We start from the raw sequence: 22,036 nt of genomic DNA, 5'->3' as shown, positions 1-22,036 counted from the left end.
ATTTATAGGATCTACAGTGTGAGTGGTACTTTCTGATTGTGCAGTACACAACCTGTACAACTATACTCAGCAGCCCTGCAAAGCCTCGTCAGTTACTACATCCACCTCCTCATCCAGTGCCTCTGGGTAATGTTCACTCTTCTTCTGGTCCAGTCATAACCCATGTTGACAACCAATGTCCTAAAATTTAAAGGTTAGGCCGGGCGCGGTGGCTCACGCCTGTAATCCAGCACTTTGGGAGGCGGAGGCGGGTGGATCATGAGGTCAGGAGATCGAGACCATCCTGGCTAACACGGTGAAACCCCGTCTCTACTAAAAATACAAAAAATTAGCTGGGCGTGGTGGCGGGCGCCTGTAGTCCCAGCTACTCGGGAGGCTGAGGCAGGAGGGTGGCGTGAACCCGGGAGGCGGAGCTTGCAGTGAGCCGAGATCGCGCCACTGCACTCCAGCCTGGGTGACAGAGCAAGACTCTGTCTCAAAAACAAAAACAAAAACAAAAAACAGAACAACAATAACAAAAAAAAATTAAAGGTTAAACCCCACCACACCACCCATATCAGGGTCTCTCAACCTTGGCACTGTTGACTATCGACATTTAGGGCTGGATTATTCGTTGTGGTGGGGACTGTAGGGTGTTTGCTGGGATCCTTGCCCTTTCTCACTGGGAACCCCTCAGTCATGACAACCAAAAATATATTCAGACTTTGCCGAATTTGCCCTGGAGGTAAACCACCCCCGCTGAGAGCACTGCCTGCGTGGGACAGGGCAGCAGGAGAGCAAAGGGGTGGAGACTCGCAGAGACGATGGCTGTGGCACCTTCAGGAGGGATGCGAGGACAGCCGTCATGGCCCCTTTCTCATCTGAGCTCTCAGTTGGTTTTTCCAGCCACTGCTGTCCACATTCCCTTTGTCCTTGAGGACTTGGGTTCTTTTGATGAATTGAAGGGCTTGGGGACCCAGTTTGTGTGGAAACAGCCCCAGGGCCTGGGCCCCGCATTTCCGTGTTTCTGTCCCACCCTCTTCCCTGCCCAGCGTTTCTCTCCACCAAGATCCCACGGCTGCACTTTCACCCAGGGCCACGCGGAAGCCGAAATCCCCACCCGAAGCCCGGGCTTTCGGTTCTCACACCTCGGTGAATTTTATTGATCTTCAAAAATCTTTGTTGAGCCTCCCCATTGTACTTTTGTTTCATATTTTGTTGTTTTTCTGTTCTCATCTCTAGTATTTTTATTCATAGGTTTGGTTCATTGCTCTTTTTCTGATGAAGAGGGACCCTTACACTGTTGATCTTTCTGCCTTTCTTCTTTTTACTGCGTTCCGTGAAGGGTGTAAGTCTCCTCCGAAGGGCTGCCTAGGCCGCATCCCACAGTTTGGCTGGGTGCATCTTCATTACCTTTTAGAACTATTTTTTTTGTTTGTTTTTTAAGACAGAGTCTCACTCTGTCAACCAGGCTGGAGTGCAATGGTGTGATCTCGGCTCACCGCAACCTCCGCCTCCTAGGTTCAAGCAATTCTCCTGCCTCAGCCTCCCGAGAAGCTGGGATTACAGGCATGCACCACCACACCCGGCTAATTTGTATTTTTAATAGAGATGAGGTTCTTCATGTTGGTCAGGCTGGTCTCAAACTCTCAACCTCAGGTGATCCACCCACCTCGGCCTCCCAAAGTGCTGGGATTACAGCCATGCACCACCACGCCTGGCTAATTTGTATTTTTAGTAGAGATAGGGTTCTCCATGTTGGTCAGGCTGGTCTCAAACTCTCAACCTCAGGTGATCCACCCACCTCGGCCTCCCAAAGTGCTGGGATTACAGGCGTGAGCCACTGCACCCGGCCACAAAATATTTTATCATTTCCATTTTGATTTCCTCTTTGAATCATGGACTATTTAGGAATGTGTTGTTTAATTTTCAGGCAGCTGGAGTTTTTCTAGTTATATTTAATCAAGTTTTAGATTAATTTTATTGTATTCAGAGAACATACTTTACAATCTGTTAAAATTTGTTGAGGCTTCTTAATGGCCCAACGTACGATCAATTTAGCAAATGTTTCATGTGAATTTGGGAGGATGGTGACTCCATGTTCTGGAGTACTGGCCTGTGTATATGACATGTGGTTAAGCTTGTTGTTAGATCTTACCATTATGAAATGTCACTCTTTATCTATAGAAAAGTTTTTAACTTTACTATCTGTTTTTTTATTTTTTTGAGACAGAGTCTCACTCTGTCACCCAGGCTGGCGTGCAGTGGCCTGATCTCAGCTCACTGCAACCTCCACCTCCCAGATTCAAACGATTCTCCTGCCTCAGCCTCCCAAGTAGCTAGGATTACAGGTGCCCACCACTATGCCCAGCTGATTTTTGTGTTTTTAGTAGAGACAGGGTTTCAGTATTTGGCCAGGCTGGTGTTGAACTCCTGACTTCAGGTGATCCACCCATCTCAGCCTCCCAAAGTGCTGGGATTACAGGCGTGAGCCACTGCACTAGTGTCTGTTTCGTCTGTTAATATAGCTACACCAACCTTCTGTTGGTTAGTGTCCTCGTGCTATATAGTTTTTTTACTTTTAACCTTTCTGTGTCCTTACAGTTAAAATGTGTCTCCTGTAAGCAACATACAGTTGATTTTTTCTTGATCTAGTCTGACCATCAGTGGGTTTTTTATCCATTTACATTTAATGGGATTTAGATCTACCCTCTTACTGTTTTGTTTTCTTTTTTGTCCATTAGTTTTTTGTTTCCTTTTTTCTTCCTTTCTTAACTTTCTTTGAATGGGTTAACATTTTTCTTCCATTATTTGTGAGTTGTATATTATTTTACTACCTCTTTTATAAGGTTTGCCCTAGCAATTATAAAATGTATTCTTGACTTATTATGGTCTAATCCAATTATTACCATTACTAATAACAGCTGTATTTATGTTGCTATAATCTTAGAAGCTTTGAATTCTACACCCTCCTCATTTTGCATTGTGGTCTTCTTGCATTTTATTTCTTTGCATATTTTAACTCCACAAGACCTAATAATTGTTGCTTTGTACAATTAATATACACCTGCATTTATCCCAAAGTTTACCGTCCTGGTTTCCCTGGCTGCATTTCCATATTTCTGTCTAACATTCTTGACCTTGGATGAGCCTTTCTGATTACCTGTGTCAGCAGTAACTTCGCTGAGCTGCTCGGCCTCAGCCAAGGCTTTTCACATGGTACTGGTATCTTTTTTAAAAATTAAATCTGCCACCCTGTGGGAAGAAAAGCCTAAAAGTGTGGACCCTGGACCCAGGCTGCCTGTGTTCAAATGCTCGCCTCACCACTTTGCTGGCTATGTGACCTCAAGCAAGTAACTTAACTTTTCTGTGCCTTGGTTTTCTCATCTGTAAAATGGGATGATGTGGTGCCTATCATAGAGGGTTGCTGTGATGATTAAATGAGTAAATATAGGTAAAGTAAAGCAGCGTCCACACGTGGTTAGCTCCATACAGTGCAAGCCATTGTCATCATCAGTGTTGCTTTTGGGTGAAGCACAATCTGAGTCTCTGAAGTTTCAAGCCATTGGTGACAGATCAGGGTCCACATGGCAGGTGAGGTGGAGGCCAGGCAGGCAGGGTCCCGGTGCCTGGTGGGCTCTGCACCAAAAGGAATAAAGGGAAGATTGGAATCCTTCCTCATGAACATCAGGGCCCTTCTAGGAGGTGCTGTGATCAAAATAGACGGAAATTGGTGCTTGGAAGTCAGAAATACTGGGGCAGGTGTCTCCAACCCCACCTGGAGAGGAGGGGCAGTCAGGAAAGACTTCCTGGAGGAGGCAGCCTGGGAGCTGCATCTCGGGGCACAAATAGGGGTTAGCTGAGCTGAGAGGGGGAAAGATGCCCTCCCTAAGCACAGGAGCTAACATTTTGTTTTTTAGCAGACGAAGAACAAGGCAGAGAGCAGCTCCGGAGGCTGACAGAGAAGCAGCGAGGAAAGCAGGCTTGGCTGGGGGAGCTGAGGGTGCCCGGTTCTGGGTGGGGGAGCTGAGGGTGCCCAGTTCTGGGTGGGGGAGTGTGGTCAGGGTCTCTCCAGGCAGAGAGGGAACAAGGCCACTTGTATCTACTGCCGTCACAGGAATGTTAAAAAAATAAAGAACTGGCTGGGCATGGTGGCTTGTAATCTCAGCACTTTGTGAGGCCAAGGTGGGTGGATCACTTGAGCCCAGGGATTTGAGAACAGCCTGGGCAACATAGGAAAACCCCGTCTCTAATATATGATAAATATTAGATATATAGTGTGTATACACCCGCACACAAAATTAGCTGGGCGTGGTGGCACCTACTTGGGAGGCTGAGGTGGGAGGATCACCTGAGTCCAGGAGGTTGACGCTGCAGTGAGCGGTGATCACGCCACTGTACGTACTCCAGCCCGGGCAATGAAGTGAGACCTTGTCTTAAAAAAAAAAAAAAAAAAGGCGGGAGAAGGGATTATTTTCAAAAATGGGAGGACTGGCCAAACATAACTATACCTTTTTAAATTGTTATTTAAAATTTTTAATGTTTACTTTGAGTAATTTGACACATTTCTCTCTCACACACATGTCTGCGTGCAATCTCATCTCATAAAGCGTCCTTGTCTGCAGCCCTCACACATGTGAAGCTTGGAGCCCCCTGCGTCCCGACGCCTGAGACCCTGGGCTGGGATTCCGGCCGTAGGAAGCAGCAAGGCTGCCCTGGGCAGGAACTTAGCTCTGTTTGGAGCCCCTCCCTGGGGCTGGGAGCCACCTGGCCAGAGGGTGCCCAGGGCCGGGACAGAGAGGGCAGAGGCCCGGGCTGGAGGGCGCAGGACACAGGGTGTGCGGGAGGTCCGCGCCTGCAAGGGGTTGGGTCACTCTGCCCCAAGTCGGCCCCGTGACCCCAGGGATGACTGCAGGTCACTCTGCCCCGAGTCGGCCCCGTGACCCCAGGGATGACTGCAGATGAGGTGGCTTCTTGGGGACATCTGAAAAGCTCTCATGGTCTGGACTCCATGTACGTGGCACATCCTCAGTGCCCAGCAACACCAGCCAGCCCCGGACCCGGCACCAGGCCATGAATATTCGCATCCTCAGCTGGCTGGGGGGGCGTCTGTCCAGAGCCGAGGGACCATCGGTCTTGACGCGATTGCAGACACACAAACAAGCCACATAATTTCTTCCACGTCCTGCCGTGGTTCCGTGAGCGCGGGTGCCTGGCGCACGGTCCCTGCCCAATTACATCTCAATCAGTGTTAAAAGGCACCTGACATTTCCCTTTGATTTATGTATTAACCTTTACATCCAGCTCAGGCGGGCGCTGATTGCTTTCATCAGCTGTGCTGAGGCAGCTCCGAGGGGCTCCTCCGATAGCTCTTCCCACCGCGTCCCCAGGCCGAGTGCCTCCTTGAACACAGAGTTTGCTCGTGGAGACCCCAGGTTGGTGCATGAAGGCCGTGGCTGCGTCCCCCCATCCCCAGCACCTCTACTGGAGGACCAGCTCCGGGAAGCTCCAGGAGCTGCAGGTCCACGGCTCTGTGCACCCCTTTCTCTGTACAAACAGCGTTGAAAAAGACAGTGGCTGCCAAGTTTGTGTTGATGTGAGCAGTTGCGGGGCCGTGAGACTGTTCAGCTGACAGACAGGGGTGTGGGTTCCCAGAGACCCCCTCACATGTCTGCAGCCTCCCACAGCTGCCCCGTCACAGCCCCACCCTACGAGTGCACAGAAACCCACACCACACACTTGTGTGCACACTCTAATGGGCAGACTCACTTGGCACAAGCACGTGTGCTGACTGACATGCACACTGCACACACACACTCATGCACACTCATGCACAGTCATACACACATGCACGCTCACTCACATGCACACTGCACACACACATGCAGTCATGCACAGTCATACACACGTGCACGCTCACTCACATGTACACTGCACACACACTCATATGCACACTCATGCACAGTCATACACACATGCACGCTCACTCACATACACAGTCATGCACACTCAATACACACGCTCACTCACATGCACAGTCATGCACACTCAATACACACTCACGCTCACTCACATGCACACTGCACACACACTCATGCACAGTCATGCACACATGCACGCTCACTCACATACACATGCATGCTCACTCATATGCACACTCATGCACACTCAATACACACTCACGCTCACTCACATGTACACTGCACACATCACACTCACATGCACACTCACCCTCACTCATGCACACTCGTGCACACTCATCCAAGGACACAGACTCACTCCCACTCAAAGACACACTGGCACACCCAGCAGACGTGCACACGTGGGCACACACCCGATGCTCACTCGCACACGGAATACGCGGATGGCAGAAGCAATGGAACAGACACCCCAGCGCCCCCTTCACCCCAGGGTGCCTGTGCAGGACGGGACTTCAACTCACACCTGGATGAAGGTGGCCGGGCCAGGTGATCCAGGAAGTTCCACAGACAGATGTGGGGCAGTGTGTTTTGGGTTCCAGGAGATGGTGGGGAATGGAGACAGGGGCGGGAGGGCAGCAAGTGCAGGTTAAAGGGCAGGTTGTGGCCCGGGCACCTGGGGCTCAGTGCACTGGGGACCCTGAGAGTCACGAGCGTTGTGTAGGGGCCCTAGGCTGAGCCCAGCCCTGGACGGGGACCGACGGGATAGCAGGGAACAAACGGTGAGGTGGTCAGTGCCTCTGCCGTCCCCTCTTCTTCCCAAAGGTCTTTGCAGAGCTGTCCCCTCGCTAACCAAGCCCCCAGCCCTGGGTCCTGACCACCCAAAGGGCACGCCCCTCACAACTGTCCTGAGCAGCAGAGAGGCCAGGACCACAGCTCCCACGCTCTCCTGGGCCTCAGCAGCTTCTGGGGATGCAGATTCCAGCCCCACCTCAACTGTCCCCAGCAGCGGAGAGGCCAGGACCACAGCTCCCACGCTCTCCTGGGCCTCAGCAGCTTCTGGGGATGCAGATTCCAGCCCCACTTCAACTGTCCCCAGCAGCAGAGAGGCCAGGACCACAGCTCCGACACTCTCCTGGGCCTCAGCAGCTTCTGGGGATGCAGATTCCAGCCCCTCACAACTGTCCCCAGCAGCGGAGAGGCCAGGACCACAGCTCCCACGCTCTCCTGGGCCTCAGCAGCTTCTGGGAAAGCAGATTCCAGCCCCGCCTCAGCTGCAGCCGCTCAGAACTTGAGGGAGAACCTGCATTTGCGTCCGATCTCCCAGGCAGTTCTCACGTAACGGCTGGTAGCCACACTTACCCTGGGGCCCTGAGGCTGCTGTGCCCATCTTGTCCGTCACGATTCCACCTTTAGGGATATGTTTCTTGGATCAAAGTACTTATCCCCCATTATTAAGCAAATACTGAATTGCTTTTGTATAAATCAGGATACTTTCCATTGCATCTGTCTGACTCTACCCAAACCGCCCTGAGCCCAGTGGAGAATGATTGTCTTAGGTGACTGGAAGGCAACACTGGGCTTTAAGCCTGGTGCTGGAAACAAGCCCTCAGGGACCGGCCTCTCCCGCCCTTTGGCTCTGCATTCCGCTGTGCAGTCCATCTTCCCACAGGCTTTCCCTGGGCGGCCGCAGGTGGCACCTACAGGCCCAGACCACATTCCACTGTGTGAACGCTCCCTCCCCATCCATTCCAGTAGAAGCCCAGGGCTGGGGTCCATTCCTTGCTTTTGGGTCACGTGATGCCTCCACCTCAATCTCTGCAGCCGATGGGAAGGGGTCAGGTGGTGAGGCCTGGGTCAGGGACCCACTCAAAGGCAATGGTGGGCCGGGTGTGGTGGCTCACGCCTGTAATCCCAGCACTTTGGGAGGCCGAGGAGGGCAGATCACTTGAGCTCAGGAGTTCAAGACCAGCCTGGGCAACAAAGTGAAACCCCATCTCTATAAAAAATATAAAAATTAGCCAGGCGTGGTGGTGCGCACCTGTCATCCCAGCTTCCGGGGAGGCTGAGGTGGGAGGATTGCTTGAGCCTGGGAGGTGGAGGTGGAAGTGAGCCAAGATCGCACCATTGCATTCCAGCCTGGGCGATGGAGCCAAACCTTGTCTCAAAAAAAAAAAACAAAAAAGGATGAGGGAGGTCACCCCCACCCTAACCAGCAGGCAGGGGACAAGGGGCTGCTCCCCAGAGGAAACCCCATCAAAGGTGACTCTAAATGGCCGGTTACAGACGGGACCCTCCCTGTCCTCATGCTCCCAGGAAGAGGCCCCCATGGCCCAGGCATGACAGGACCAAAGTGAAAACCTCCCTTAGCCCTGTTGAAGCAAACCAGTGTGGAGAGAAAGTGGCTCCTAGCCCCGCTGTGCCTGGTTCACGGCTGACAGGAGGCCACACCTGGCCCTGGGATGGATGGCTGTTGGGGGGTCCCAGAGCCTGTCTGCTGCAGGAGTCCCTCCTCTCTAGGCCTCAGTCTCCTCCTCTACAGAAAGGGATCAAATCAACCGATCCAACCTTTCACGGAGCTGCTGTGAACGCTGAAAATGCTGCCGGGCGCTGAGCACTGAGCCTGGGAGGGCTGTTGCTTCTGGAGGCCCATGGGGTCCTCCAGCTCAGGCCCAGGATAGCAGACTCCCCAGCGCACTGGTCCTGACTCAGGGAAGGTGGGGCCCAGGCAGGCCCCAGAAGTCACAGGCAGGGAGAGTGTGTCTCCCAGCCCCAGCTGGGCAGACACCCTTGGGGATCCCAGGGTCCTCAGGCCAGACCCAGCACAGCTTAGGGTCCCCCCATCCACCCGGGCCTAGACCACTCGCCACGGAGGAGAGGCGTGGGCCCCTTGCGAGCAGGGAAGCCTGAGGTTTCTGGGACCGAGCTGCCGGCTTCCTCTGTGTTGAGGGAGACACCTTGAAACAGGGTTTTCCTGGCCCACATCTGGCCGAATCAGTTCATCTAAACAGAAAACAGTGAGAAAAATTGTTCCCAGCTTTTCAGAAACTCCAGACACATGTGGCTCCTCGTCTCTGTGTTTGGGACGGCCGAGCCACCTACGTGCCTGCTCTGCGAGCCCAGGCTTTACGGTAGGCAGGAGCATGCCCAAGAAACACGTCGCAGCACCTACTGTGTGTGGGGTCAGCGGCAGGCCGGGAAGCCGGGAGGTACAGGAGCTTCGGGAGGTCAGCTGGGGGCACCAGCGTGAGGACCTCCCGCCTCCCTCGGGTGGGCGGCGGCAGGGACCCTGGAACCAGCATGACTTGTGCAAATCCTTACCCCACCTCAAATCACACGGCCCTAGGCAGGTCTCTGTGCCTCAGTTTCCTCGTCTGTAACACGGGGAGGAGATGAGATGTCCCCATTAAATATGAGATGCCTCCTCACTTCCCGGCCTGGGAGCGTGCACCCAAACAGCTCTGCTCTACCTGGGGGCTGAGCAGAGGAGGACATTTTGCACCAGGGCCTTGAAAGCCAAGTGGGTTTTTACGAGGCTACAAAGATGAAAAAGGCATTGCAGAGGGAGGAAACCAAGCGTGAGGGCGTGGAAGCGTGACCGTGGCGGGTCAGACGGAGCCAGCAGCCTCAGCTCAGCAGGACCCATTCTCTCTCCCAGCCTGTAGACAGAGAGAGGAACATTCTCACTCTGCCCAAGCATAGCCGTGGGCATTTCACACGCTGTGCGCTGTGCATGCACATGTGTGTGGCTATATGTGTGCGTGCTTGTGCATACGGGCGTGTGTGTGCATGCATGCTCACGTGTGCATGTGCCTAGTTGATGTGCATGTGTGTAGGTGCATATATGTCTATGTACGTGTTTGTGTGCTCACACGTGTGTGTGCCTATGTTGGTGTGCACACATGTGCATGTGTGTATGTGGATATGCCTGTGTATGTGCATGCATGTTCACGTATGTATGTGACTATGTTGGTGTGCATGCAGGTGCATGTGTGTATGTTGATATGTCTGTGTACATGTGTGCATGTTCACGTGTGTGCCTATGTTGGTGTGCATGTGTGTGTGTGCACATATGTCTATGTACATGTGTGTGTGTTCATGTGTGTGTGTGTGCATGTCCATGTGATGTTCTGTCTTTGCATCTCAGGCCTATGAAGCCAGGCCCACTAGACAGCCAGGCACATCTGCACTTGGTCAGCCACAGACGCAAGGAGGCTTCAGGACGCCAGAGAGGGGACCTGCTGGTCCTGGGGACAAGTGGGAGAACTGGATGAAATAAACCATTTCTCCCTCCTCTGTCTGGAAACAAGCCTGGGATGGGAATCTGAAGGGCTGGATTTATTCCTGGGTTTGGCTGCTTTAAACCTGTGGTCCCTCTCAAGCCTCAGTTTCCCCACTTGTCAGAGGAGAGTGTTCTCTGCCCTGCAGCCTCCCTGGGTGATAAGGTGGTGGCTGTTCGGAGTCCCCAAAGAAAAGTCCTCCTCCTCTGCAGAACCTCGCGGTGAATGATACACAAGACACACTTTCAACACCAGAACTTCCCATCAACAGGCTCACCAGCCTGCAGCCTGCTGACTTCTGCAGCCTGAATGCACCTTCCCTGGGTGCTAGAAACAAAGGAGGCTGTGGGTGAAACGGTTCGCAGAACTTTCTCGAGGCCCTGCCTTGTTGGAGCCCTCCGCCTGGACGCAGTGTCTTTGAGGGGGGCAACCCGTCTCCCCTCTTCCTCTCCCCCAAATGCACCTGCCTTTCCTCATGTGTTGTCTTTCTCTGGCTAAAGCAGTTGGCCTTCCCTGTGTGGACGAGGCCCAGAATCTGTGGCCGGGGCTGCCCTCATCCCTCCTGCTGGGTTCACACATTAAACTGCCCCAGGGAGGAGCCTTATGCCCTGCCCCAGACTTCGTCCTGTATTTGTTGACACCGTCGTCACCCAGGATTTCTGTTACTGGTGGCCAAAAGCACCTATCGAGAGATCGTGAGGAGCCTCTGAATGGGACGGGGTGCCCTCACGGGGCAGGGCCCTTGCAGGCATCGCTCTGCCCATGTCCATTGCTGTTTGTCCAGCACCCCATGCAGCCCCAGGACGGAGCGGCGTTGCACAGACAGGGCCTGTGACTCCACCAGGCTAACCTGTGGAGAAGCATCACATCTGTTAACGACGTTAAACAATGAACTGCACGAGTGGGCAGATTTTTCTTGCTCTCTGGAACCAAATTGCTTCAGGTAACTGTCTTAAGAGAGGCCTGGTCCAAACCCTCTCTTCTTCCTACCCCAAACTCGGGAACAAATAATGCGGTGGTTCTTTTGCTACCTGACCTCACTTTGCAGGAGCTGAGTCCATGTGAAGGATCCAGAGGTGGTGTCCCTGGGTGAGAATTAGCAATCGTGGGTGGGTTTCTGGACATAGGCTTGCTGGGGGCACAGAAGGACCTGTTAGGCGGTCCCAAAGGACGGGACGGGTTTCCATGGCGAGCAGTGTGGATGCTGGAAGCGGTCGGTGCAGGCACCTAAAGGCCCCCTTGGCCCTGGCTCGGGGCAGGTGACTGGGAGGGTGCAGCGGGCGGGCATCAGGTGTGGCTGCCAGCTGTGGTGCCTCCATTGGCTGGCGAAGGCTCTGTACTCTTCTGTTGTCTCGCTCCACACAGTGCAGGGGAAGCTGAACGTGACTCGTTCGACACAGAGTCCACCAGGGACCAGTGCAGGCCCATGTGGAGTGGGAGTGTGTGGTGTATGCTGAAGTCACACCAACACACAGGGGAAGTTGAGCCAGGTTCGGGTGGTGTCATTCAATTTCCTTTTCTTTTAAAAAATGGCATCGCCGCGTGACCTCTCTTCGTTTATTATAAATCTAATACTGCAAGTTTCAGTTGAGTGAACTCACATCTTATTTGGAATCTGGGTCTACAGTTGCCTAAAGCTGGTGGGAATGTAATTGTAGACAAGCATGTGAGGCCCGTTAATTTGCAATCCACGGTGAACAGCCTGGCTTGACAAGCCCCGCGCTGGGTTCTGAGGAGCCGTTCTCCAGAACGGCCGAGCACGAGGACCGGGCACATTTGCATAAGAGGCACTTGGTATTTCTCACAGGATGAAAACATGTAATTTTGCAAATGTTTATAGATTGTTAATTTGGCTGAAGAGCAAAATCAAATTACAGGTAATAGGTTGTGTGCACTTCCCCTTTCCTGGGTCTCTCATGTAATTATGACAAGCGTGGAACATCAGGCCCCTCTTGGTGGAAGTGGGAGGGGTGAGCACGGTTGGTGTCCCCCAGAAGCAGGGCTACCTCGCAGCAGTGAGTCCTGCCCAGCCACGTTCCAGAGCCGGGGGAGGTTAGGCTGTGCGTGGGGAGACGGCCACACCCCGATGTGGGACCCCTGGGATCCGGAATGTTCCCACCGTCTCTGACGCTCGCTCAGGAGTCGAACAGAACCACAGCTAGGGGATGGAGGAGGCCTTGAGGCTGTGCCCGTTAACTTCCAGGTTAGAGGATGTCATTCTGCCCTCGGCTGGGCATCCTGGGCTCCTGGGATCAGGCGAGTCCAGCCTCTGCACCAGCAGGCTCTGAGAGGCCCCTCTGAGCCTCACTTTCCTCCTCTGTACCGTGGAGCTGTGGAGTCTGCCCCGTGCTCTGCTCACAGGGCTGTTGGGGCTTGGAGGAGGGCGGGACCCCTGCGGGAGAGCAGAGCCACGAGAACCGAGCTCCTTTACATTTCAGCTTGGACTGGGGTTCCCTCTGCACCTGCTGGAGTGGGGTCCACACCTCTGAGGAGATGAGAGTGGCGGCCCCTAGCATCTTGCCAAGGGGCCCACCGCCTACAGCCCCGAGCTTCACACTGCAGGGGACCGCACCTCCATTCTCTCTTGGACTGTCATTACATCGTCCCCTTTCGGTGGGGAGAGCTGGGGGCCCTGCGAGGCAGCGGCACAGCCCCAGAGGCTTGGGTGTGTGGAGACACTGGGCCCTTGGACCTGCACCTGTGCTTGGAGGACCTGTCTCCCCTCCTCCAAATGCTGTCGGCCACTCTCAGGGCCCTGGCACTGACCCTGTGGGTCCCTTCAGACAATTTGCTGACCCCTGAGCTCAGACCCCTCCGCACACTGGCCAGGCACGTGACCCTCTCCAAGCCTCACGCGTGCCCTGGGTGGTGTCGTGTTGCTGGCTCCGTGGGGTCCTGGGGGGTGAGTGTTCTGAGTGTTTTCAGAACCATGCCCAGCACATGGAGAGCCCTCGGCAAACGCCAGCCCTTCTTTCTACCAGGATTAGGATGTCCTCCTGGGCTGACCCCGGGACACTGGGCCTGGGCTTGCTGGGATATGGCACAGTCATGAATGACACGACCTCCCCATCTATCTCTTCCCCTCACAGAAGCTTCTTTCTTGGGACCCTGTGAATTTACTCATCATCTGTGTGCAGGGCGCCCACCGTGTGCAGGAGAGGAAGTGACCCACACGTAGGAATTCTCAAGATTGAATGTGCTCCATCCACTCCCTCCCAGCACCTCCTCCCGCCACCCCTCAGCCCTGCGTCCCATCATCCACGTGTCCACTCCCTCCCAGCACCTCCTCCCACCACCCCGCAGCCCCACGTCCCGTCTTCCACGCGTCCAGTGCCTCCCAGCACCTCCTCCCGCCACCCCTCAGCCCCGCGTCCCATCGTCCACGTGTCCACTCCCTCCCAGCACCTCCTCCCACCACCCCGCAGCCCCACGTCCCGTCTTCCACGTGTCCACTCCCTCCCAGCTTCTCCTCCCGCCACCCCGCAGCCCCACGTCCCATCATCCACGTGTCCACTCCCTCCCAGCTTCTCCTCCTGCCACCCCTCAGCCCCGCGTCCCATCGTCCACGCGTCCACTCCCTCCCAGCACCTCCTCCCACCACCCCGCAGCCCCACGTCCCATCATCCACGTGTCCACTCCCTCCCAGCTTCTCCTCCTGCCACCCCTCAGCCCCGCGTCCCATCGTCCACGCGTCCACTCCCTCCCAGTACCTCCTCCCGCCACCCCGCAGCCCCACGTCCCATCATCCACGAGTCCACTCCCTCCCAGCTTCTCCTCCCGCCACCCCGCAGCCCCACGTCCCGTCATCCACGCGTCCAGTGCCTCCCAGCACCTCCTCCCGCCACCCCGCAGCCCTGCGTCCCGTCATCAATGCTGGGGCAGGCATTCTCAGTAGACACTTACTGTGGGACCTCAGCCTGACCAAAGACCCTCAAAACCTTGCTCCCCTGAGCCCCATCTTTAGTGGAGTTTTGTCAGTGAGACCCTCAGTCTAGCCCCAGGGGTGGCCTGAGGCACTGGACACGTGCAGCTATTTCAGGTGCACTGGCCTGAGTGCAAAGCACAGTCTCCTGTGTCTGATGAAGCCGCCGGTGGCCCCCAGACTCCTGGCAGCTGGGGGCCAGCTGTGCTCGGGGAGGATGGAGGGGCGGGGTGGGGGGGGGCAAGAGGGACCAGGCAGGGCCAGGAGGGGCATGGGGAGCCAGGAGAGTTGGGGGAGTTCAAGGGTCGGGGGGAAGGCTGGAAGGGCTGGGGGTCCAGAAGGGGCCTGGGGACCTGGGGGTGCCACAGGGCCAGTAAGAATTGGGGGTAGAGAGGGGCTGGGGGGAGAATGGGAGGGGCTAGGAGGCAGAAAAGACCCAGGAGGACCAGGAGGTGCCAGGAGGACCAGGCAGGGCTGAGGGCACCAGGAGGGGCTGGGCAGGACCTGGGGGAGGGAGGCGGGGGTGCAAGGTGGGGCCTGGTGGGGCCAAGGGGAGGCTGGGGAGTGTAGGGGTGGTGAGGCAGTGCCGGGAGGGGGCAAAGTCGGACCCTGAGTCCCCAGGCCGCAGGCAGCCTCCGGCAGGCCCTGTGCTTGTTTTCAGTTTCATATTTTGGTGAGAAACAGCCTGTTTGGGTTCCTCCTCTGGAATGTGTACACGGAGAGACTCCAGGGCCCTCAGCATGGAGAGGAACTTGGCTGGCCCTGGGGCAGGGCGGGGGCCGGAAAGTTAGAACCGAGCAGTTTCAGGAGCCCAGCCCTGTCACAGCCTGGGGTGATGGGAGTGGTGGCACCCCTGATCCCCAAACCCAGGCAGAACCACAGAGGAAACCAAGATAGAGAGGGGAGGGCCGCCAGACCCCCGCGCGGAGGCCAGTGTAGGCCTCTCAGAAGAATCCAGGTGGGAAACACCCAGCTGTGTCCTGGTGCCAGTCCCAGCCCACCAGGGGCCATGTCCTCTGGCCCCTCACAGCCCAGGTGCCATCCTGAGGAAGTCCTTGTCCCCTGGCCTGCCAGTCAGATGGGAGGGGGCCATGAGGAAGCTGACAGTGCCCATGGGCAGACCACGGTGTCCCAGGGAAAGAGGCAGGGAGTCCGGGGGCTGCTTCCGGGAAGGGAGGTGCCCAGAAAGCCGCCGTGGCCTGGGGACTGCGGGGAGCCAGTTTCCACGGGGACGCCCAGCTCAGGCCTTTATACCCCAGGGAGCTGGCCCCTTCCTTTTCTGGGTCCCAGGGCCAGGCAGATGCACTGGGGCGTGAGGTGGGAGCAGAGCTGGGCCAGGGCCCATGAGTCCAGCTGAGAGCCTCTCGCCTGAGCCCTGGATGGTGCTGTGCACAGCCTGTGCCACGGGCAAGGAGCCTCAGACTCCAGTGGGCAGAGGACCCTGCCGAGGACACACAGTGGCACGACTCCCGCCTGGTGCCCCTCTCTCCCAGGAAAACCAGTGCCACTGCAGACCTCCAGGGCAGCTGTCCTGGCTGGGCGACACTGAGGAGGGGCTCATGGAGACCCCCACCCTCTGCACACCATCCTCACCTTCCATGAGCACAGGAAGGAACTGGCCAGGAAGAAACACTTGGGGACAGGAGCAAGAGTAGTGTGTGGTGTATGCTGAGGCCACATTAACCAAGGCCAAGCGCCCAGACCATGGGAGGTGATTATCCTTCTGGGCTGTGCAGGAGTTCGACATATCAGAAGGAACAGGGACAAATGGAGGCAGATGCAGGAGCTGCATATCAAGGGCTGAAGAGACAGTCAGTCTGGCCTGGACTTGGGGGCCGGGCGGGCGTAGCTCCCTGCCTGCACCTCCCTCCGGTCACACTGGCCTCTGGCTCCCAGCACAGGGCTTGGCACAGGCTGCCCCCTACGCGGAATGCCCTTTCCTCCTGGCTCGTTGTTCCAGCTCACCGTCACGGCCTCAGCTCCCGAGAGCCCGGCCTGGCCATGCACTTTGCACACTCAGTTATCCTCTGCTCAGCGCCCTGTGCGCTCCCTTCCTGACACATCCGGCGCGGGGCTCTGCAAGCACGCAGAAGCCGCCTGTCTACTTCACGCGTGTGCTGTGGGGCTGCAGTCTGGGCCTCTTGGGTTCATGGTTGCGCCCCATCTCCTAGCTCAGGGCTCACGAATGTTTGCTAATGAATAAACAAGCAGCCCCCACCCTGCTCAATCAAGGACCGAAGGAATTTGAAGAGGAAGGAGGCTTTTTTTCTCTTCTTCCCCAGGAGGCAGACCAGGGGCCAATGGACAGCAGATTCCAAGAGTTTTATTTCAGCTGGGTGCAAAGGGCAGGTGTCAGCCCAGGAGGGCTCTCTGGAGGGGTGCTGCTCCGCTATACCCAGCAAGTCAGCAGTGGGGAGGAGGGGCTCATCTGTGGTCAGTTTGCACTCAGGGACCTGGTGGTTGCTCTCAAATCTGCCGCTGTCCTGCTTCCATCTGTGGGAGGGAGGGATAAACGTGGCTGGGATTCTCCACCCTCCAGGAACAACCGGGGGCCGACCCCTCATTCCTGCGACACTTGGTAGAGGAGCCTCTGCCCAGCTTCTGTGAGAAGGGGCGCCCTAAAGTCTCGGGAAACGGAGCTCAGGGCCCAGGTGCCACCCAGCCTGGGAACTTTGGTCCCAAGCACAGTCATTTGCACACGCCGCCCCAAACGTCCGCTCGGCAGCACCTCCCAGCTTTGTTAATGGAAGCCTGGTGATCCGTAACCCACGTGTGGCAGACATCTGCTCGGGGGTAATGTACATATCGATGATCAATCAGTGGATTTGCAAGAAAGGCATAAAGTATTTAATTATAATTGCGTTGGGCAAGCGTGCGTGGTGGCGGCGACATTTGAATAGGTCACAGCCAGCCCTCACCCTGTTTTGTTGCTGGTATTAAATGCCATTCACTCTAAGGGCTGGGAACCTTTCTGAAGTTGCAGGGTGTCATGCACTGGCAAATTGAAAATGTCCCTTTGCTTTTAAAAATATGATTGATATCCTTTGCAAAACAAATGCTACACCTCATAGTACACAGATTTCCCCCAGTGCCGCCCTTGCCTCTCCCAGGCGTCGAGTCTACTTTTGGCCGCAAATATATCCTCAGAGAGGATGAGCTATGAAGACCTTGACTTATTTTGAGGCCCCCAAGAGTGTTTAGGAAAAGGGGTTTTGCTGTTGTTGTTCCAAATCAGGCTTTGCTTACCAGAGCAAAGTGCAGGAACTCAAAAGACAAAATGTAAATTTTATTTCCTCTGTTGGTAGCAGAAAAATATATCTTCAGATACTTTCTTTGCCATATACTTATGTATGGGAGCATCTGCCTCTTATGACCATCTAAATTACATCTTGTATGATTTAAATCTATGCTTTTAGCACAACCAGCAAAGGGATATAAATAACAGGAGTACAGACAGACACAGGTCACACACCATGATACACACAGACACACACACATACGTGTACACACCATGCTGGTAGCCTGTGCAAGCCAGCATGGAGGGGGTGAGGAGCCAACCCGGAGCTGCATGCCTGTGATGCAGGTTCCCATCTGTGAAACGGGTGTGAGAGCCGCAGCACCCATCTCCTAGGATCCTACACCCGGTGGGCGGCGGGAGCACCAGGAACGTGGCTGCTCTCCCAGCAGAGAGTTCTGGAAACCAGAAGCTGATATTTGCAAAGGAAAGGTGTCCACATTGCAAGCCTCATTTCCACTTCCAGGAACAGGCATTTGAGGCCGGACTCCGACTCCTTCTCCCTGGGCAAAGGGTGCCCTTGTAGGCAGAGGCTGCGGTTGTCCGGGCCCGGAGGCCAGGGAGTGGGTGCATCACCACCGGGCCAGGCGTTCACAGCGTCTGTCAGCAACGGCTTCCTCCCTTTTCTCAAAACAATGAACCAAACACATCGAGTCTATTTACAGGGCAGGTGAGTGGGGGAATACTTGGATTCTTCCGAATAGAGACGAAGCTAGGGCCAAGCATCTTTTGCATGTTCTGGTCTGTCTCTGCAGCCCGCCTGCCTTCACGGCCGCCCAGCCCCTGTTTTTAAGGGTCCAATAGAGCAAGACTATGTGATTCCCAAACGAGACAGCCAGCCTCCTTGGGCGTGTTTTTGCCATTCACAAAATTAGCCACTCGTTGTCACCGAGTGAATCAGATTAGGTGTAATCCATACTAATGTTCAAATTAAGTCACTGAAAGCAATTAACTCTGCAAAAATGAGCTGGTGAAAAATGATGAGGCTGGTCAAATAGTTTCACTGTGCATAATTGTGTTTTTAGAATGCCCGTCTCCACACAGTAATTAAATCCTTTACATTTCAAGTGGAGTGCACCCACCTCGGATACTTGTAACCGTGCACTGAGAGGTGTCACAGGAATTTTATCAACAGCCTGCTCTCTTGGGGGCCTGATTTTTTGGGAATCCAGTTGATGGAAGGTGCCTGAATCAGGGCTTACTCCCTGCTCTGAAGAATCAAGAAATTTGGACTTTGCCCCAGTATCATCCCAAATCTGGGCCCCTCCTTCCCACCTTGTCTTTCTCCCTTCTGGTATAAAAAGCACAATGGATTTCTTAAACTGTCACCAAAATACTCAGCTGACACAACAAGATACATTTGTCACTTCTGAGCACGTCACCGCTAGCACGGACACCATCATCAGCTTTGGGGTGACTAATTCGTGGGGCTGACTGCCCTCTCTCTTCACGGTTTGTGCCTTACCACTATTATTTTAACCATGGGGACGACGCGAACCAGCCCACTGACCGCACACTGGGCACTTGTGGCTTATTGGGGTGTGGCTGCCTAGAAAACTCGCCCTCAAGTGACTGAGGAATGAAATATCTCCCAGCTCCAGGGAACATGACCCTGTGTTTATCCCTCAGAGCAAGAGCACTAGGTCAGTCCAGAGCAAACCCTTAGGTAAAACCGGAACCCAGTGGGGTTTTCCCTGCAAGAGAACTGTTTTCCCAACAGGTCAAGTCACAGCCTCACAGTCTATACCTTTAAGGAGCTCCACCTCCGCCTGTCCCCCCAGTCCAGGCCTGGTGTGGCACCTGACCTTCTGTCTGCAGGAGAAATTGTAGGATTTGCCGAACCCTGGCTTCCTGGCTCAAGGTGGGGCTGGAATCGTCTTTCCAGGGAGGGTCCGGGGAAGACCCCAGACTGAACTGCAGGGGCCTCCAGGGTGGCTCCACATCACATTGTCCAAAAGTGGAGTCCCACGTTCTCCAGCCGCGGGTATCTGCCCTCTTGTGCGAGGCAGGGCGGCTTGAGCCCAGGGAAGGGGTCTGGGGAGGACAGGATGTAGTCGATGCTGAACTTGAGGTCCCGGGGGTGCTCCTTCCCCGGGGGAGCGGGGCTGGCGGGGGGCTCACGGCCCGGGGCGCCCTCGCCAGCGCTGTCCGGGGCCAGGCGCCCCTGAGCGGCGGGCGGCTCGGACGGACCCGACGGCCCCTGGGCGCCCCCCGCGCGCGGACCCCTCGGCCCCTCGCGCTTGGGGCCGCGCCGCCGCCGCCGCCGCCGGTAGTTGCCGTTCTCGAAGAGGTCCAGCAGCGACTCGCAGCCGCCCGCGAACGTCCAGTAGTTGCCTTTGCCCTTCTCGTGGCCCTCGGACCGCGGCACCTGCGCGCGCGGAGGGAGGGGCTGGGAGCGGCTCCGCTGCACGGTGCGCCCGCCCGCCTTGTCCCCTCGGGGCGCCCTGGACCGGGGCGAGGGTGGCGCACTGCGCAGGTGGAGGCGGCCCCGTGGGCTGAGGACGGACCTCCCTGAAGCCGCCGCGGTGCCCTCCCTTCCCCGCCACCGAGGCCCTGGCGCAGGTGTCGCCACGCTGGGACACCCGGGGCCCGTCGGGGGCGGCGCTCACCTTGACGAAGCAGCTGTTGAGGGACAGGTTGTGGCGGATGGAGTTCTGCCAGGCGCGCTGGTTGGCGCGGTAATAGGGGAATTTGCGCATGATGAAGTCGTAGATGCCGGACAGGGTCACCCTCCCCGCGGGGCTCTGCTGAATGGCCATGGCGATCAAGGCGATGTAGCTGCGGAGCCCGGGGGTCAGGCGGGGTCTCCACCGGGCAGCCCCCCGTCCTTCCCCCCATCCCGCAGGACGCCGTGGGGCGCAGAGGCGGAGGAGCGAGGCGGTGTTGGGGAAAGTGTCCCCGCAGCTCGCGGTCCCCGGCGCCACCCAGACCCCAGAAGCTCTTTCCCGACCTGCGGAGGCCCCTCCCCGCGAGGCCAAGAACCCTCCCTGGCTCTCCCCAAAGTAGGGACAAATGCGTCCTTTCTCTGAGCTCCGCCGCCGGAGAGAAGAAAGCTCCCCCGCCCTTCCTTCGTCCCAGGCAGGTCCCGGCTACCTGGGACCCTTGCAGGGGGTGTCACTGTCCCCCAAAGCCCCAGCACCGCCCCCGCAGTCACCTGTACGCGGGCCGCGTGAGCCTCTTGTCTTCGTCGGAGCTGCCGGCGGGGTAGTCGTCGGCGTCGTAATTGAAGCAGTTGTAGGGATACTGCGAGCTGTCAAACATCCTGGCGCGCTCGGCGCTTGCTGGGGGTCCCGGCTGCAATTGCCGCCTCCTCCGCGCCGCCCGCCGGCTTCGCGCAGAGCCCTCTCTACGCGGCCCAGCAACGACTGCACTGCGGGCTTCTCTCCGCCGGAGCGGGAACCTGGGCTCCTGGGGTCCCCCGCCTGCCCCCACCCCGTCCTCTCGCATCCAATCCCGGCGCGGGGGAGGCCCCAGCCACCGGTAAAGCGGCCGAGGGGAGCGGTGTGGGGCGTCTGGGTGACCCTCTGACCGCCGCGGGGGGAGGGAGGAGGAGGCGGCGCGCTGGGTGGTCCGACGGGCGGGGCGGCCCCCCCTACCCGGCTCCCTTCCTGGGGCGCTCAGGGCAGGGCTCGCTCCGTCCCCGTCCCTGGAGGCAGCTTGGGGTGTCCTCGCAGGCTCCCTGCACTGGCGGAAGTCTCCTCGGAGCGCCCCGGTGCCGTGAGCCCCGGTCCCGTGCGCCCTGGGCGCGCCTGAGACTCGGTGGTGCTTTCCGGGCGCCGGGATCCCCGGGAGGACCCTTGGGTCTCAGCAGAGAGCACAGCCCGGAGCCGGCGTCGAAGACCAGGACTGTGGCCCCCTCCGCCACCTGCACTGTCCGCCGCTCTCCACCCCAGAGCGGCCGGGGGGTCCAGGCCAAATCCGTGGGGCCCGGCGGGCGTCTCCCGGCCTTGGTCAGGGGGTCAGCTGAGCCAGAGACCCAGGTCCCAGCGCTTTCTGCAGCGCCCTGTGCTCCCGTCCAGCGGCCTCTCAGTGCCTGGAAGTGAGTCCCCGCCAGGGCCCGGAGGGAGGGGGACTTCCCATCCGCAGAGTCGCCGCTTCACGGGTCCCCTCTGGGTCGAAGCTCCGTTTTAGGCGCACGCAGAGGGAAGAGAAGAGAAGCCATCCGGGTTAGGAAATTCTGGAGAAAAGTAGAGAGGCGGGATCTTACGGGAGTAGGGGGTTTTGTTTCACAGTAGACATGAGACTGAATAGTATTTCCAGGAATAATCTGCAGAATTCTGACCGACAGCCGTGTCTGTGAGTCGGCCTGAGGCCAGAAAGCCCGGGATAGATACAGCCTTCACCAGGAAATGTCATCTTCACAGCAGCACCTTCAGCTCTGAAACGACCCAGACAGCGGGGCCTGGGGGCTCATACTTGAAACCGCAGCGCTTTGGGAGCCCGATGTGGGAGGATCACTTGAAACCAGGAGTTAGAGACCAGCCTCAGCAGCAGAGTGAGACCCCTGTCTCTATAAAAAATAAATGAATGAATGAAGTTGTTAAAATACGAGGTGACTCATGCTGCTTGCACCCAGCTGGCCCCAGGGGTGCCTGGAGCTGTCGCTGCCCTTGGTAAAACCGCATCTGCAGGCGGGCTCAGC

The 22,036-nt window shown here is 56.8% G+C and overlaps 1 protein-coding gene and 1 long non-coding RNA gene across 2 annotated transcripts; both read right to left on the bottom strand.

Annotated features, from left to right (window-relative positions):
• Positions 1-16,402: 16,402 nt before the first annotated feature.
• FOXL3-OT1 (FOXL3 overlapping transcript 1) lies at positions 16,403-19,596 on the bottom strand. Its single transcript, NR_164665.1, has 2 exons — positions 19,142-19,596; positions 16,403-16,592 (listed from the first exon to the last, which is right to left on the bottom strand). It is a non-coding gene; the product is annotated as an FOXL3 overlapping transcript 1 (long non-coding RNA).
• On the bottom strand, positions 19,337-20,655 carry FOXL3 (forkhead box L3). Its single transcript, NM_001374838.1, has 3 exons — positions 20,549-20,655; positions 20,004-20,172; positions 19,337-19,762 (listed from the first exon to the last, which is right to left on the bottom strand). Exons 1-3 carry the CDS (start codon positions 20,653-20,655, stop codon positions 19,337-19,339), a joined length of 702 nt encoding a protein of 233 aa, NP_001361767.1.
• Positions 20,656-22,036: the final 1,381 nt, after the last annotated feature.

Source organism: Homo sapiens, chromosome 7, assembly GCF_000001405.40.
Source record: "Homo sapiens chromosome 7, GRCh38.p14 Primary Assembly".
In the NCBI taxonomy this organism is placed as follows: Eukaryota; Metazoa; Chordata; class Mammalia; order Primates; family Hominidae; genus Homo; species Homo sapiens.
This window is presented reverse-complemented; position numbering and strand designations above follow the sequence as displayed.

Bases quoted from the DNA above. Each gene is read 5' to 3' on its own strand.
- FOXL3 (NM_001374838.1), bottom strand. From the start codon at position 20,655: ATGTTTGACAGCTCGCAGTATCCCTACAACTGCTTCAATTACGACGCC. The intron at 20,173-20,548 runs GTGACTGCGGGG...CGGGCTCCGCAG, and splicing joins CTCACGCGGCCCGCGTACAG to CTACATCGCCTTGATCGCCA. The intron at 19,763-20,003 runs GTGAGCGCCGCC...CCGCGCGCGCAG, and splicing joins TCAACAGCTGCTTCGTCAAG to GTGCCGCGGTCCGAGGGCCA.